This window comes from Homo sapiens, chromosome 7 (assembly GCF_000001405.40).
Source record: "Homo sapiens chromosome 7, GRCh38.p14 Primary Assembly".
Lineage (NCBI taxonomy): Eukaryota > Metazoa > Chordata > Mammalia > Primates > Hominidae > Homo > Homo sapiens.
Window position 1 is genome coordinate 17,706,690 of NC_000007.14, and position 14,045 is coordinate 17,720,734.

Sequence of the window (14,045 nt, forward strand, 5' to 3'; positions counted from 1 at the left end):
CTAAAAAATATTAAATTGCTGGGGATAGAGGAAGAGAGAGAAGATTGTGATTATTAGAATGCCGGGAATGTTCTTGTTCTTTTAGGATGAAAATTGAGTATCTCTAGAAGGTTCTGTGAACCTGTGGTAGAAACTGGTGGTTCACAAAATTTAGGTTTCGACTGGAGTGCAGTTTTTATTACAGACAGGCAGCACTTAAATTGAGGGGACTTTTTCAAGCTGGTCCTTTTGGAGTTTGCTCACAAGAGGGCAGTGCTGTTTAACAGTTGCAGCCTTCAAGTGGGCAAGGAGAAGAAGGCTGGCTGGCTACCCAATTGTTCTAGCTCCACACAGGTAAAGCTAAAGAATTTTGTTTGGTACACGACCACAGTATAGGGAAATCTTAGCAAAAGGTACTTTTTGTCTTCTCAGAAGATAGAGTAATCCTGGCTTAAAAAATAGACAAAAATTTCGTTTCAACCCTGGAAATGATGACAAATGATGTTGGTTAGTGACAAGATGAAGTTGGGTTAACAAAATCCTTTTGCTGATCGAATGCATTTTGCACTTTATAGGAACATTTGAAAACTGTGAAATTCACCAGACACACGTAATGCTTAGTACACAATACCCCTGGGACATGAAAGTATCTTCAGGGTATAGCCGAGATGTATTTTATGGAAGCAATTTTTAAAATTTAATTTATTATATAGAGATGGGGTCTTGCTATGTTGCTCAAGCTGGTCTCAAATTTCTGGCATCAAGCAATCCTCCCGCCTTGGCCTCTCAACATGCTGGGATCACAGGCATGAGGCACTGCACCCAGCCTGGAAGCAACTTATACCTTATAACAGTCTATCTGGATAACATGAAAGTTACTAATCAAATTTAGGAGTTACAATGACTAATCTGAAAAATAAGATATTTTCCAAAATGATCTGGAAATGAATGCTTTGTGTACCTCTCTTAATTTGTACTAGCACGATTGTCTCATTGATAACACTACAAAGATGTATATGCATACTCTACCTCCTCTAAAGAGATTAAACTCAATTTTAGAAGTGTAAGTTCAAGTTTTGAGGAGTTACAAAAAAATTATCTACGAGGGGTTACTGTTCCCACTAAATTCTTCATGCCATAAAAGGCATCTTTTCTGTTAAGCCATATTTGAGAGTGACTTCCTAAGGACTATTTCAATCAAATTGAAAGTTCATTCTTGGACAAAATAAAATGTGCTCACAAGCAATGAACAATCCAAATATTAAATTAAGAAAACAACTCCATTTACAATAGCATCAAAAAATTCTTAGTATTTAACAAAGGAACTATATAGGCTTACACACTGAAAACTACAAAACACCAATGAAAGAAACTGAAGAAGACCTATTTATTATAGGAAAATATCTCAAATTTATGGATTGGAAGATACTGCTAAGATCTTCCAAATTTGTTAAGATGGTAATACTTAAATTGATTTACAGATTCAACACAGTTCCTATCAAAATCTTAGCTGGCTTTTTTTTTTGGATATTGACAACCTAATTCTAAGATTTATATGGAAATGCAAAAAACACAGAATAGCCAAAACAATCTTGATAAAGAAGAACCAAGTTGGAGATTTTGCACTTCCTGATTTTAAAATGTACTCCAAAGCTATAGTAATTAATACTATGTGGTACTGGTATAAGTGTAGACGTATAGACCAATAGAATAGAAGTGAAAGTCCAGAAATAAATTCACACATTTATGGTCAGTTGATTCTTGACAAGGATGCTAAGACAAGGAATAAGAATGTTAATGGTGCTGAGATGATATTCACAAGCAAATGAATGCATTTGGATCTTTACTTCACATCATATACAAAAATTAACTCAAAATGAATCAAAATGTAAAACCCAAATTTAAGAGGTAAAACTCCAAAACTCTTACAAGAAAATATAGGTGTAAATGTTTGTGACTTTGAATTAGGCAATTTATTTTTTAAATGACACCCAAATCACAAGCAACAAGAGGGAAAAATACATAAAGTGGACTTCATCAAAATTTAAAGGTTTTGGAAGCAAAGCTAACAAATGCTTGGGGATTTTTACAAAAGTATTAATGTGTGTATTTGTGTGTGTTCCTTATAAATGTAATTTTGTTTGGTGGCGTCTTTTTTTAGTATTTTTATATGACTACTCTGTAATAGTTACTTTAAAAAATTTAATCCACTGAAGTTTTTATTAAGTAGGCAACACCTAGAGACAAGTAGCCATGAAAAAATTAAACAGCAAAAATCCCAGTGCGGCAGCAAGCAGACAGTCTCGAATTTCAGCTCTCTTGTCAGGAGGACATTTGTTAGTGATAGACTAGAAAACAACCACAGCAGAAAGGATTTCTGGAAGATGCCCAATCAAGAGGTATCTTTTTTTTTTTTTTTTGTCTGAAGGCTGAGATTTATAAAATTTTCACCCACCAGAATTTTGAACCAGCAATTTTGCAGATGTCCTTCACTGAGTGCCCTGGCATTGGGAAAGCCCCTCTTCTTACAGTTCCCTTGTTTATAGCTTTGCAAAGTAACAGTGATCAACACAAACAGCCAGGGCAGGTGAAATCTAGCCAATAATGCCTTCCTAATGAAAACTAAAAGGTCTTGTTTGTATTTCAACATCTCTAGTTACTGCAAACCAGACCTCGAGTCTTCCCCAGTGAAAGAGGTTGTTGACCTGGTAGTGAAGGAAGCACAGAAGCAAATCAGAAGACAATGTAGAATCAAGTAAGAGTTGAAAAGAAATTAGTCTACAGCAAGACAGAATCCCTCTCTTAGTCTCTATTCCAACTGGATTTTTAAAGTATATTTTTCTTCAAGTATAAGATACATAAAGTACATAAATTATAAGGGTACAGATTGAGGAATTTTCTCAAATCAAATACTCCCCTATGACCACTATATTGATCCAGATATAGACCATATCCAGTACTCCAGAAGCCTCTGTCATGGCTCATCTCAGGCATTAGTTCTCCATAGGCAGCCACAAGTCCAGTTTCTATCTTCATCAGCCAGTTTTACCTTCCTTCAAACTTGAAATAGTCACACACGACACACTCTTTTGTGTCTGCCTAAGATTCCTTCATGTTCACTGTGGCAAGTGTAGTCATTGTATGAAAATATCACGATGAATGTCTTCATACTCCTAATGAAGAATATTTACTCATCTCAGAAGAGCCAAAGGTACTAGAGCTGACCTAGACTTTCTATTAAAATAAAAGCAGTGTTCCTCTAGAATGACAGAGCAGCCCTGATTTAGCAAGCTTTCACATCCAGGGTTGGTACATTTAAAAAGCATTTCTTTCATTTTTAGTTTCCAGAGATTTCAAATGTATTGGATCAAGTCATTCTTAATATATTTTTTCTCACTTTAATGCCTATGGAATGTGCAGTAATATACTTTCTTCAGCCCAGAAATTGGTGAATTTTACTAGTTTTATCTTAAACAACTTTTGACCTTGTTGATTTTCTCTATTATATGTCGGTTTTCACTTTCACTAATGACTGCTCTTATCTTTAATGTTTTTTCTTGATTAATTTTGTGTCTTCTCCTAACTTTTGAGATAGATACCTCAGTCACTGGTTTTCAGCCTTTCTTCTTTCTGATACTGTTTCCTAAATAACTTTTTCATCTTTAAACCCATCCTTCTGTACTCTGTAATGCTGGGACTTCTACTAAGCAAACTGCATTTCCCCTTTACGGGTAGGGACTCTGCAAATAGGAGATGCTTGAGGGAGATGGCAGGCCTGGAGGTGGAAGGACAGAGTCACTCTTGTGTTACCTTTCTGTTCTGTCAGCATGGCCCCAGCAACAGCCTTTCATCCCTGTGGTGCCTATTGTTCTGGTCTCCAACTCCTCTTCAGTCCTCCCAGCCCAGCCTCATCATCATTCCTTGGGAGTCTGTCCTGACTCCATAGGGCATCTTTCAAGCTTCTTGCTCTAAAAACCCCAATTCCTTCTCTTTCTTCCCTCAGCCCTAGGGTAGAAGCTGTTTTCTGTAATTACTAGCTCCGTGTTACCAAAATGTCCCTTGTTAACTTTTTCTTGCTTACCTAATCCCTCATATTAATTTCTTTGCTCCTCTGTTCTGTATCTTTGCTGGAAAGCAACTGAGCTAGAAACCTAGGAGTCTTTTTCTAATGTTTTATCTCTCTCTTAGCCTCTGTAGGCAATCTATCATCAAATTCCATTGACTCTGCTTTTCCTATATATCCCTGGAATCTCTTCCCCCATTCCACTCCCATTGCCATCATTCTAATTCAGGCTCAAGTCATTTCTTACCAGGCCTATTTAATTAATCTCTTGGCCTCAGGGCTTGTTAAACAACAATCCCTATCTTGCTACCAAACTGATCTATAAAAGCAAAACTACTCACCTTAAAAACACCCCAGGGGCTCCCTGCTGCTACAAGGTAAAGCCCAAATGCCTCAATAACACATTAATCTTTCAGCCCTTTGTGAGCTGGTCTTTGCCCACATCTTCAGCTTCACGTGCCACTAATCCCCACCTTCTACCACAGCACCCCATGACCCCGAAACGTTTTCCAGGAAGTCCATCTTACAGGGCTGTGAATTTCTTGAGATAAGGAGTTGTAGCTTCTTAATCATTATGTGTACAATTTGGCAATTAGGGCATTCAACAAGCTTTTGTGAAATGAGAAAATGTCATTTTTCATGTTCTATAGAGTCTTCATATTCATAATTTTGAATGGCTGTGTGATAGTTGACCAAATTGATTGCCATAGTTTGATAAAACATTTTGCAATTTTTAGTTATTTGTTTTGTTTTGTTTTGTTTTGTTTTGTTTTGTTTCTGGAGACAGAGTCACACTCTTGTTGCCCAGGCTGTAGTGCAGTGGCATGATCTTGGCTCACTGCAACCTCAGCCTCTTAGGTTCAAGTGATTCTGCTGCCTCAGCCTTCTGAGTAGCTGAGATTACAGACATGTGCCACCACGCCTGGCTAATTTTTGTATTTTTAGTAGAGACGGGGTTTCACCATGTTGGCCAAGCTGGTCTCGAACTCCCGACCTCAAGTGATCCGCCCACCTCAGTCTCCCAAAGTGCTGGGATTACAAGCATGAGCCACTGTGCCTGGCCACAATTTTTAGTTATTTAAGTATACTGATAGTGATAGTTGACTTTATGTGTCATCTTAGCTAGACCGTGGTACCTAGATGTTTGGTCAAACTTTATTCTAGAAGTTTCTATGAACATATTTTTAGATGAAATTAATATTTAAATTAGTAGGCTGAGTTAAGCAAATTACCCTCCATAATGTGGGTGGACCTCATCCAATCAGTTGAAGCCTTAATAGAATAATACCAACCTCCTATGGAGAAAAAGGAACACTTATACACTGTTGGTGGGAGTGTAAACTAGTTCAACCACTGTGGAAGGCAATGTGGTGATTCCTCAAAGATCTAGAGGCAGAAATACCATTTGACCCTGCAGTCTCATTACTGGGTATATACCCAAAGGAATATAAATCATTCTATTATAAAGATACATGCATGTGTATGTTCATCGCAGCACTATTCACAACAGTAAAGACATGGAATCAACCCAAAAGCCCATCAATGATAGAATGGATAAAGAAAATGTGATACATATACACCATGGAATACTATGCCGCTATAAAAAGGGACAAGATCATGCCCTTTGCGGGACATAGATGGAGCTGGAAGCCGTTATCCTCAGCAAGCTAATGCAAGAATAGAAAACCAAATACCACATGTTCTTACTCATAAGTGGGAGCTGAATGATGAGAACACATGGACACATAGGAGGGAACAACACAAACTGGGGCCTATCAGGGGAGAGGACGGGGGAGGGAGTGCATCAGAAGAATAGCCAATGGATGCTGGGCTTAATACCAATATGATGGGTTGATCTGGGCAGTCAACCACCATGGCTCACGTTTACCTATGTAACACCTGCACATGTACCCCAGAGCTGAAAATAAAAGTTGAAGAAAAAAAAAAAAGAGCGAAAGGGCCCTGCCAGGCTCCTGGAAAAACAACCACAAACAAACAAACAAACAAAAGAAAAGGAAAATACCAACCTCCCCTGAAACAGAAGAAATTCTGCCGGCCGACTGTCTTTGAACTCAAACTGCAACTCTTCCCTTAGTCTCTGCCTGCTGACCCACCCTGCAGATGTGCAGATTTTGGACTGGCCGGCCTCCATAGTTGGATGAACAAATTCCTTAAAATCTTGATATAGATTAGATGTAGATGTAGATAGATATATGTACATGTTGGTTCTGTTTCCCTGGAGAATCCTGACCAATACACTGGTTTTTGTGTTTGGGGTTTGTTTGCTTGTTTGCTGTCCTAAATACAACTTTATGTTGATGATCATCTCAAATCATTATCAAGATTAAGATCTAGGACTAGGTTTCAATTCAAAAAGGGTGAATGTTACAATGCCTCTTAATAAAAGTCCCTAATTTCCCTCCAAAAAAAAAGATTGTACTAACATATAATGCCTCAGTGTTGTATCAATATATGTTGGCCACCACAATCTTTTTGGCACAATTCACATTTTAATTCATAATTTTTAATTATTCCGTAGGTAGAATATGGCTCTGTACATTTACTTATCGGGTATGTTTCCTGTTACATAAACTTATTGGGGATGTTTCCTGTTACATAACTGCTTGTGTGTGTGTGTGTGCGTGTGTATATACATATATGTATACATATATATGCACACACACAAGCAGTTACGTATATATACACAAATATATGTATATATATGTGTGTGTGTATATATATGTATGTGTGTATGTGTGTGTGTGTATATATATATACATATATATACACATATATATATACACGTATATATATATATATACATATATATATACACGTATATATATATATATACATATATATATACACGTATATATATATATACACACACACATATATATATATATGTCATTTGTCCCTGGAGTTTTAGATGTGTTATATGAATTCCTCATATGAACATTACTTATGACAGGATGAGCATTGTAATCAGTAAGTCTACATGTGTCATGGTTTAAGTCCATGAGGAATCTGTTCTTTGCTTATGCAGGTCAGCCTCTACACAGTTACTGGGCTGACACATAGCATGCAGCTTATCTCCATTCCAGTTAACAAGACTAGGGAAAGGAAAGAGAGGGGTGTTCACAAGAGGGTTATTCACAAGAGGGTTTTTATTAAGCTAGGCTTGGAAGTGAAACATTTATTTTTACTGCCAATCCATTCAGTACACTCAGTCATAAAGCCACCCTCACTGAAGAGGTTCTGGAAAATGGAGTCCAGCTGCATACCCAGGAAGATTTTGTATCCCCATGGATTGTGGTGAGTCGTTATCAGTCGTTACCAGGGTATGAAACCTGCTGTGCTCAGTGGTAGAAACATGGACTCTAGAGTGAGACACACTCATGTCACTATCATATCCAGCAAGGTACTTACACTTTCTGATCCTGAGTTTTCTTATTTTCCCAACGCAACATAGAAATAAGTATATTGTAGGGCAGTTGTAAGGTTTAATTTACATAAATATGTGCAACTTCATGGCATAGAGTGGGTTTATCATACATGTTAAATTCCTTTATAATTTTTCTGTCACATTTTTGGTAAATGTGTGTTTATATTTTGATTTTTTTCAATTTACACTTATGTTCTTTTTCCCTTTTATTTTTAGTTGACACATAAGAATGACATATTTATGGGATGCAGAGTGATATTTTGATAAGTGTATGTAAGGTATAACAATCCAATCAGTGTAATTAGCCTATCCATTACCTAATTTATCATTTATTTGTGTTGTAAACATTCAGAATTCTCTTTTCTAGCTTTTTGAAAGTATGTAATAAATTATAGTTAACCATATTGATCCTAAGTGCTGCAGGCATTCATGCTCCTCTGTTTAGGTATATAAAATGTTGTTTTTATGGAGTTTTACATCATCTTTCACTTTGTGGTTTCCTGTATTGCTTCCAAGAGTTACAAGCTATCATTCCTCCATTGTCAAGTAGGATGTCTCCTCTTTTATTTTCAGCTTATGGTCTGAATTTTTATTTCCTTTGCTAATGCTCCTATATTGCATGTTCTGAAACATCATCAAGACCTTTCAAAATGTAAAATTCCAAGTGTGAAACAGGACACGTATCTCTGTGACCGACCTTTCTATTTTCCATTGGTCCTTCCCTCCTTTTCTCCACCCTTGAGTCTTGTCCCCCATCCCTCTCCTGATTGCCCACTAAGTCTCCTCCCTACCATCATTTGTCCTCAAGATGGCAGCTCCATTATGTCAAGATGACAAATACCATATTAAAACAGTGATGTCAGACTTTGGTAGAAAAAAAAATGACCTGGGGGCTTGTGAATATGTAGATTGGAAAATTTCTGATTCAGAAGATCTTGGTAACAAATGAACATTTTAACAAGAGTCCTGGGTATTTTTAAAATAGCTAGTTCCCCACTTAGAAAAAATGGCTTAATTCCTTCCATAGATGTTTTTAGATAAGGTCTTCAACTATAGAAGAGAAAAAATATTAGCATCTTTTCTTCAGCCACCTGACTATGGATAAGAAAGCTATTCTTGAGTGTGAAGGTTTCTATCCTATCAAAATTACATGCATTTTTTCTTTACAGTTATAAGTAATATAACCACCTTTTATTCTTACAGCTACAAATACCTACTGATCTGTGGCTTTATCCAAAATCAAACCAAGTGTTTTTCAATCACTTGCTGCATGGGCTCTGAGCAGTGTGATTTTACATCGAAGAAGGCTAAAGCAATTGCTCTGTGAGTCTTATAGCCAGGGGATAAAATCAAGTAGAAATAGCAAGTTATTTTTCTAAATGTGAATTCCTCTGAATGCTCCAGCCACTTCACTCTTATTGAATCCTCTAACAACTTTTCTTATTTTAAGGAAAATATGACCCTTTTGTCTTTCTCCTGAGAGAAAGTACAGATTTTAAATAATATACAGTCATTTTATTTCTTACCACATAAGAATCACACTTCCCACACCTCCTTACTGGATTGAGTAGGTAAAACAAAACTTTTCCTAATACCACAGTGTGACAATGGAAGAATCACAGGACTTGATAGGGCCAAGTTACAGGAGTGGCTTGGTGCAGTACCTGTGGCATTTCACCCTAGGTGACTACCACTTCAGGCGTGACCCTGCAGAGACCTGATCTTAAAAACACTAAGGAAAAGGACAATATGTAACAATATTCCAACATGGAAGAAAGTTCTCAGTGCATTAACACCTGTGCTGCTGATATAGTAAGGCAGAACTGAAGGCCAAGAGCCTATGGGTATAAATATTCTCCTAAGGACTTTCTAAGACATCTATAACAGAATTATTAGTGGCTTTGTTTGATCATCAGATGAAAGGCTGTCATAAATCAAGATGATAAAGAATAGTTTTCATCCAGAGAACTGAAAAGTCTTCAAACATCTGGCCTGGAGAAGGTTCAGTGGAGTGAGTGTAACTTGGATATCCTACTGGAAATGAACTGAAGACTGCAGTTGATTCATGCCTTTTTTCAAAGTACGGGGATTAATGAGCAGATAGGAGAGTTAATGACCCAACCAGCATGGATTATCATTCAGCCTGGCTAGCAGAAATCCCTTTGGGGTTATCCTTTGTCCCGTATTGTCCTATTTATTAAATTAGCTACCTTTTTCTTTTTCCTTAAAAAGAAAAGTTTTCTGTGTTTCCATTTCCCTTGCTCTCATTTTTTTTATTTTAATTGTGGCAAAATACACACATAACATAAAATTTACCATTTTAACCCTTGTTAAGTGTACAGTTCAGTGGCATTACATATATTCACATTGTTGCGTCTCCCCTTGTTTAAATTATTGAAAACTTAATTTTAAGTTCACTTTTTAATATTAATCAAATCAGTGAACTAGTCTATGATAAAACAGAGGGTTCCAATAATAGCAAAAAAAAAAAAAATTGTGTCTCTGCCTGTGTCTCTCTTTCTCCACATGTTCTCTTAGGACAAATAGCCTCTTTTAAGTCCCTCTTCCAACGCATTCACTCAAAACACAAACACACACACACTCTACTACATAATGATTTCTGGAGTCCCCAGGGGAGTCTCAGATGATGTAGACTTCACTTGCTCTGTGTTCTGCTACTGTCAGAACGGCTGGCACCAGAGTTTCCAATTCACCAAAACAAGGTGACCAGATTTCTTTTTCCTATTACACAGCTCCCAAAGCACAGCAGTTTTAAGTCCGCAACTCTCTCCTGTCTGCTCTGCTCAAAGCCCTCTCCCATGAATCAGTTTTGTGGATTGGGCCACAGGAGGCTCTGAATGATAATTGTCATGTTATCCTCAGCTCCATTCTCCTCTACAAAACCAGAATCTTACTAGACCAAACTTGGCTTGACTCTCTCATTACATAGTATGAGGTGCCTTTTTTTTCCTCTTACAAATCTCCACTTCCAGAGCCTGTTGCCACAATCCCAGGCATTGCCAGACATGCCCAAAGCCAAAGGGAGACAGCTTACATTCAAACTTGGATCTCCATTCTGTTTTCCTACTATAGGCTAGCACTCTCTGGTATAAAGTTTGTATGCTTCTAGCGGCCCCTTTATCTAGAATTAAACATGGCTTAATATTCATAATGCTTTATTCACTAGCCATGGAAGAAAGTGAATCCACTCTTCAAATAAATGATGACTTGAAAGAGCTACCATATTACATCACAGCAAACTCCAAGGCTCATAATCACTTCCCAATTATTACCACTTGGCAAATTGCCACGGCTATCACACAAAAACTATTATGGTAACTATGGTCTGGATGATAGGGTAAGTATCATTACTCTCATTCTACAGATGAAAAGCTATTGCTTAAAAGATCCTGAGATAAATGGCTAGTAAGTAACAGAGCTAGAGGAAGAACTACAATCTCCTGACTGGGGTTTGTTCTTGAGAATTTTAGGCTTGAGACATAGATTTACCAAGTCACCAAATTTTTCTGACACTTGTCTCCTTCTAATAATTTACTTGAAAACTCTAATTGGTGCTGACAAAAGAGGATATTGACAACTGGTAAAATGTCCAAAGCCAACTTGAATGAATCATCCATGCTACAGATCAGAACAATCTGTTCAATGAAGCGGCATACATAGATTATGCATACAGTTGTCATGAAGGTAAGTCAAATGACTTGACCCCACTATCTGATTCACCATTTTAAACCGAGTGCCCTAAGCAGTTTTAACTTTGCCATTGACACTTTTCTCAGCCAGCAATGTGGTCAGTGACTACACATCACCAAAAGTGATATGAAGAATATGAAATTGGGCTGAGCATCGTGGCACTCACCTGTAATCCCAGCTACTCAGGAAGTTGAGGTGGGAGGATTGCTTGAGCCCAGAAGTTTGAGATTGCAGTGAGCTATGATTATGCCACAGCACTCTAGCCTGTGTGACAGAGCAAGACCCTGTCTGAAGAAAAGAAAAGAAAAGAATGTGAAATTGACTTGCTATCTCATCCTAAACAATAGAGCAATCCTAAAAGATACGGTTTAAACTTTTCTCATAGATTAGATGAGAAATAAATATAAATCACAGGTCAGTTGTCATATTAACAATACATATTTCCATAAGAAATAACAAAAAAAATCCTATAGTTTTAAAAATGCCAAAATTACTATTGCAATAAAAAAGACACGAAAACAGAAAATTTTGTTCTTGATTTAAAAACTGATTGACAGAATAACAGTATCTTGGTGGTAATGAAATATACCTTTTTAAACTGACCTCATAAAAACATAAGAACATAACTGACTGGCTGTACACAGTAAATGTACAGGAAAATTGAACTTTATAGAAATAATGCCCATTAGGATAGCTCTACGAACCTATTAGGAGTCATTGAGTTACATTGTTAAGTTTAAAAGGAAAGTTCAAAAAGATTATAAATAGTAATTCTACCTTTTATAGAAGAAAAATAAAAGTATTGGCCAGGCGCGGTGGCTCACGCCTGTAATGCCAGCACTTTGGGAGGCCGAGGTGGGTGGATCACCTGAGGATGGGAGTTTGAGACCAGCCTGGCCAACATGGTAAAACCCCGTCCCTACTAAAAATACAAAAATCAGCCAGGTGTGGTGGTGGGTGCCTGTAATCCCAGCTACTCAGGAGGCTGAGGCAGGAGAATAGCTTGAACCCAGGAGGCGGAGGTTGCAGTGAGCCAAGACCGTGCCATTGCACTCCAGCCTGGGTGACAGAGCGAGACGCCGTCTCAAAAAACATACATACATACATACATACATACATACATACATACATAAAAATAAAAGTATTAAGAAAATATATATGTTTTTGCTTATAAGAAACACAGGAGGCCAGGCCCAGTGGCTCACACCTGTAATCCCAGCACTTTGGGAGGCCAAGGCAGGTGGATAACTTGAGGTCAGGAGTTTGAGACCAGCCTGGCCAACATGGTGAAACCCCATCTCTACTAAAAATACAAAAATTAGCTGGGCATGGTGGCAGGTGCCTGTAATCCCAGCTACTCGGGAGGCTGAGGCAGGAGTATCACTTGAACCTGGGAGGCAGAAGTTGCAGTGAGCTGAGATCATGCCATTGCACTCCAGCCTGGGTGACAACAGCAAAACTCCATCACACACACACACACACACACACACACACACGCAAAGAAAACCACAGGAAAGATAATTCCGTAACTAATGAAAGTAGTTACCAAGAGCAATGGGTAAGAATGGGCTAGAGGGTCTAGGAATTGGAATGAGGTTTTTCTGATTGTAATTTATATTTTAATTTTGACTTTTATACCATGTAAATGTTTTACATAGTGAATAAATAAAATTAAATCAGAAATGATGGAAAAGGTAAATCCTAAAATTAAATGCAATCAAAACAAATTATCCTAACCATATATGTAATTGATAACAACCACATGGAGAAAATAATTCATGCAATTATGCACAGAACACAGTACTGTGGATACATTCTGAGGACAAAAAGAACTGAAAGTAATCTTAACCTTTCCTTAATAGGTTTGCTGGGATTGGTGCTGTAATTCTGAAAGTGTAGTACATTGCAATTTGGAATAAATAAGTAAATATAGTGGTGTTGTTAAGAGCCAGTAGCTTCACTGCAGGAGAAAGAAGATATACAATGAAATGGACAAAAACAGGGAAAATTGCAATATTGTTGAATTTGACCAAAAATAGTAGTACAATTGATTTTTTAAAAATTATCCTAGCTCTATAGGGCCTAGATATTGGTTTCTAAACACTATTCTCCATTAAAAGGAACCAGAGCTGTTTAGAGATATAACTGATTCCAGAGCTGGGATGAGTCGGGAACAATGTATTGTACTGGAAAGCAAGTAAGTACTCAAACATTAATGGGGTCATGATAGTAGGACACTTCAGCTGGCTTTTGATGTGGCACACGCTGGCTAAATTTGGAACGAGGTTGGCAGCAAAAAGAGTAATGATGGTCATGGATTTTATCACGCTGAACAGAATAATCCTGAAGGCAGGATGTTCTGCAGGACCACATGCCTTGACTCGTCAAAGAAGTCAGTGTCATGAAAAACAGTGAGGCAGTGGTATTGTACTGGTTTGAAGAAGGCTCAGGAGGGCCCACAGAATCATTAGAAATGTAAGTATATAAAGGTCATGCAGAAAGGCACAAGGGGATCAGCCCACCATAAAAAAAAAAAATCACCAGTTCATCTAAAAAAAAGCAAAACTTATCAAGGTTACCTAGGTTACATAGTGTAAATACAACTTTCCATCATGACTAACATACAGGCCAGGTGTCGTGTTCATGGGTGTAATCACAGTGCTTTGGGAGTCTGAGGCAGGGGGATTGCTTGGGGCCAGGAGTTCAAGACCAGCATGGGCAACATAGCAATGCCCTATCTCTACAAAAAAAAAAAACCAAAAACAAACAAACAACAGACTGACAAAGGTCATAAAATATATTGCAATATTAGCACTGTAAAATTTAAGAATAAACTTGCTTTTGCTA

General features: G+C 37.6%; 1 annotated feature.

Moving 5' to 3' along the window:
• Positions 316–365: an enhancer, noted in NCBI's record as "active region_25675". NCBI's record gives its function as "activates an Ori minimal core promoter by ATAC-STARR-seq in GM12878 lymphoblastoid cells {active_cell/tissue: GM12878}" and the evidence as "EXISTENCE:reporter gene assay evidence [ECO:0000049][PMID:35858748]".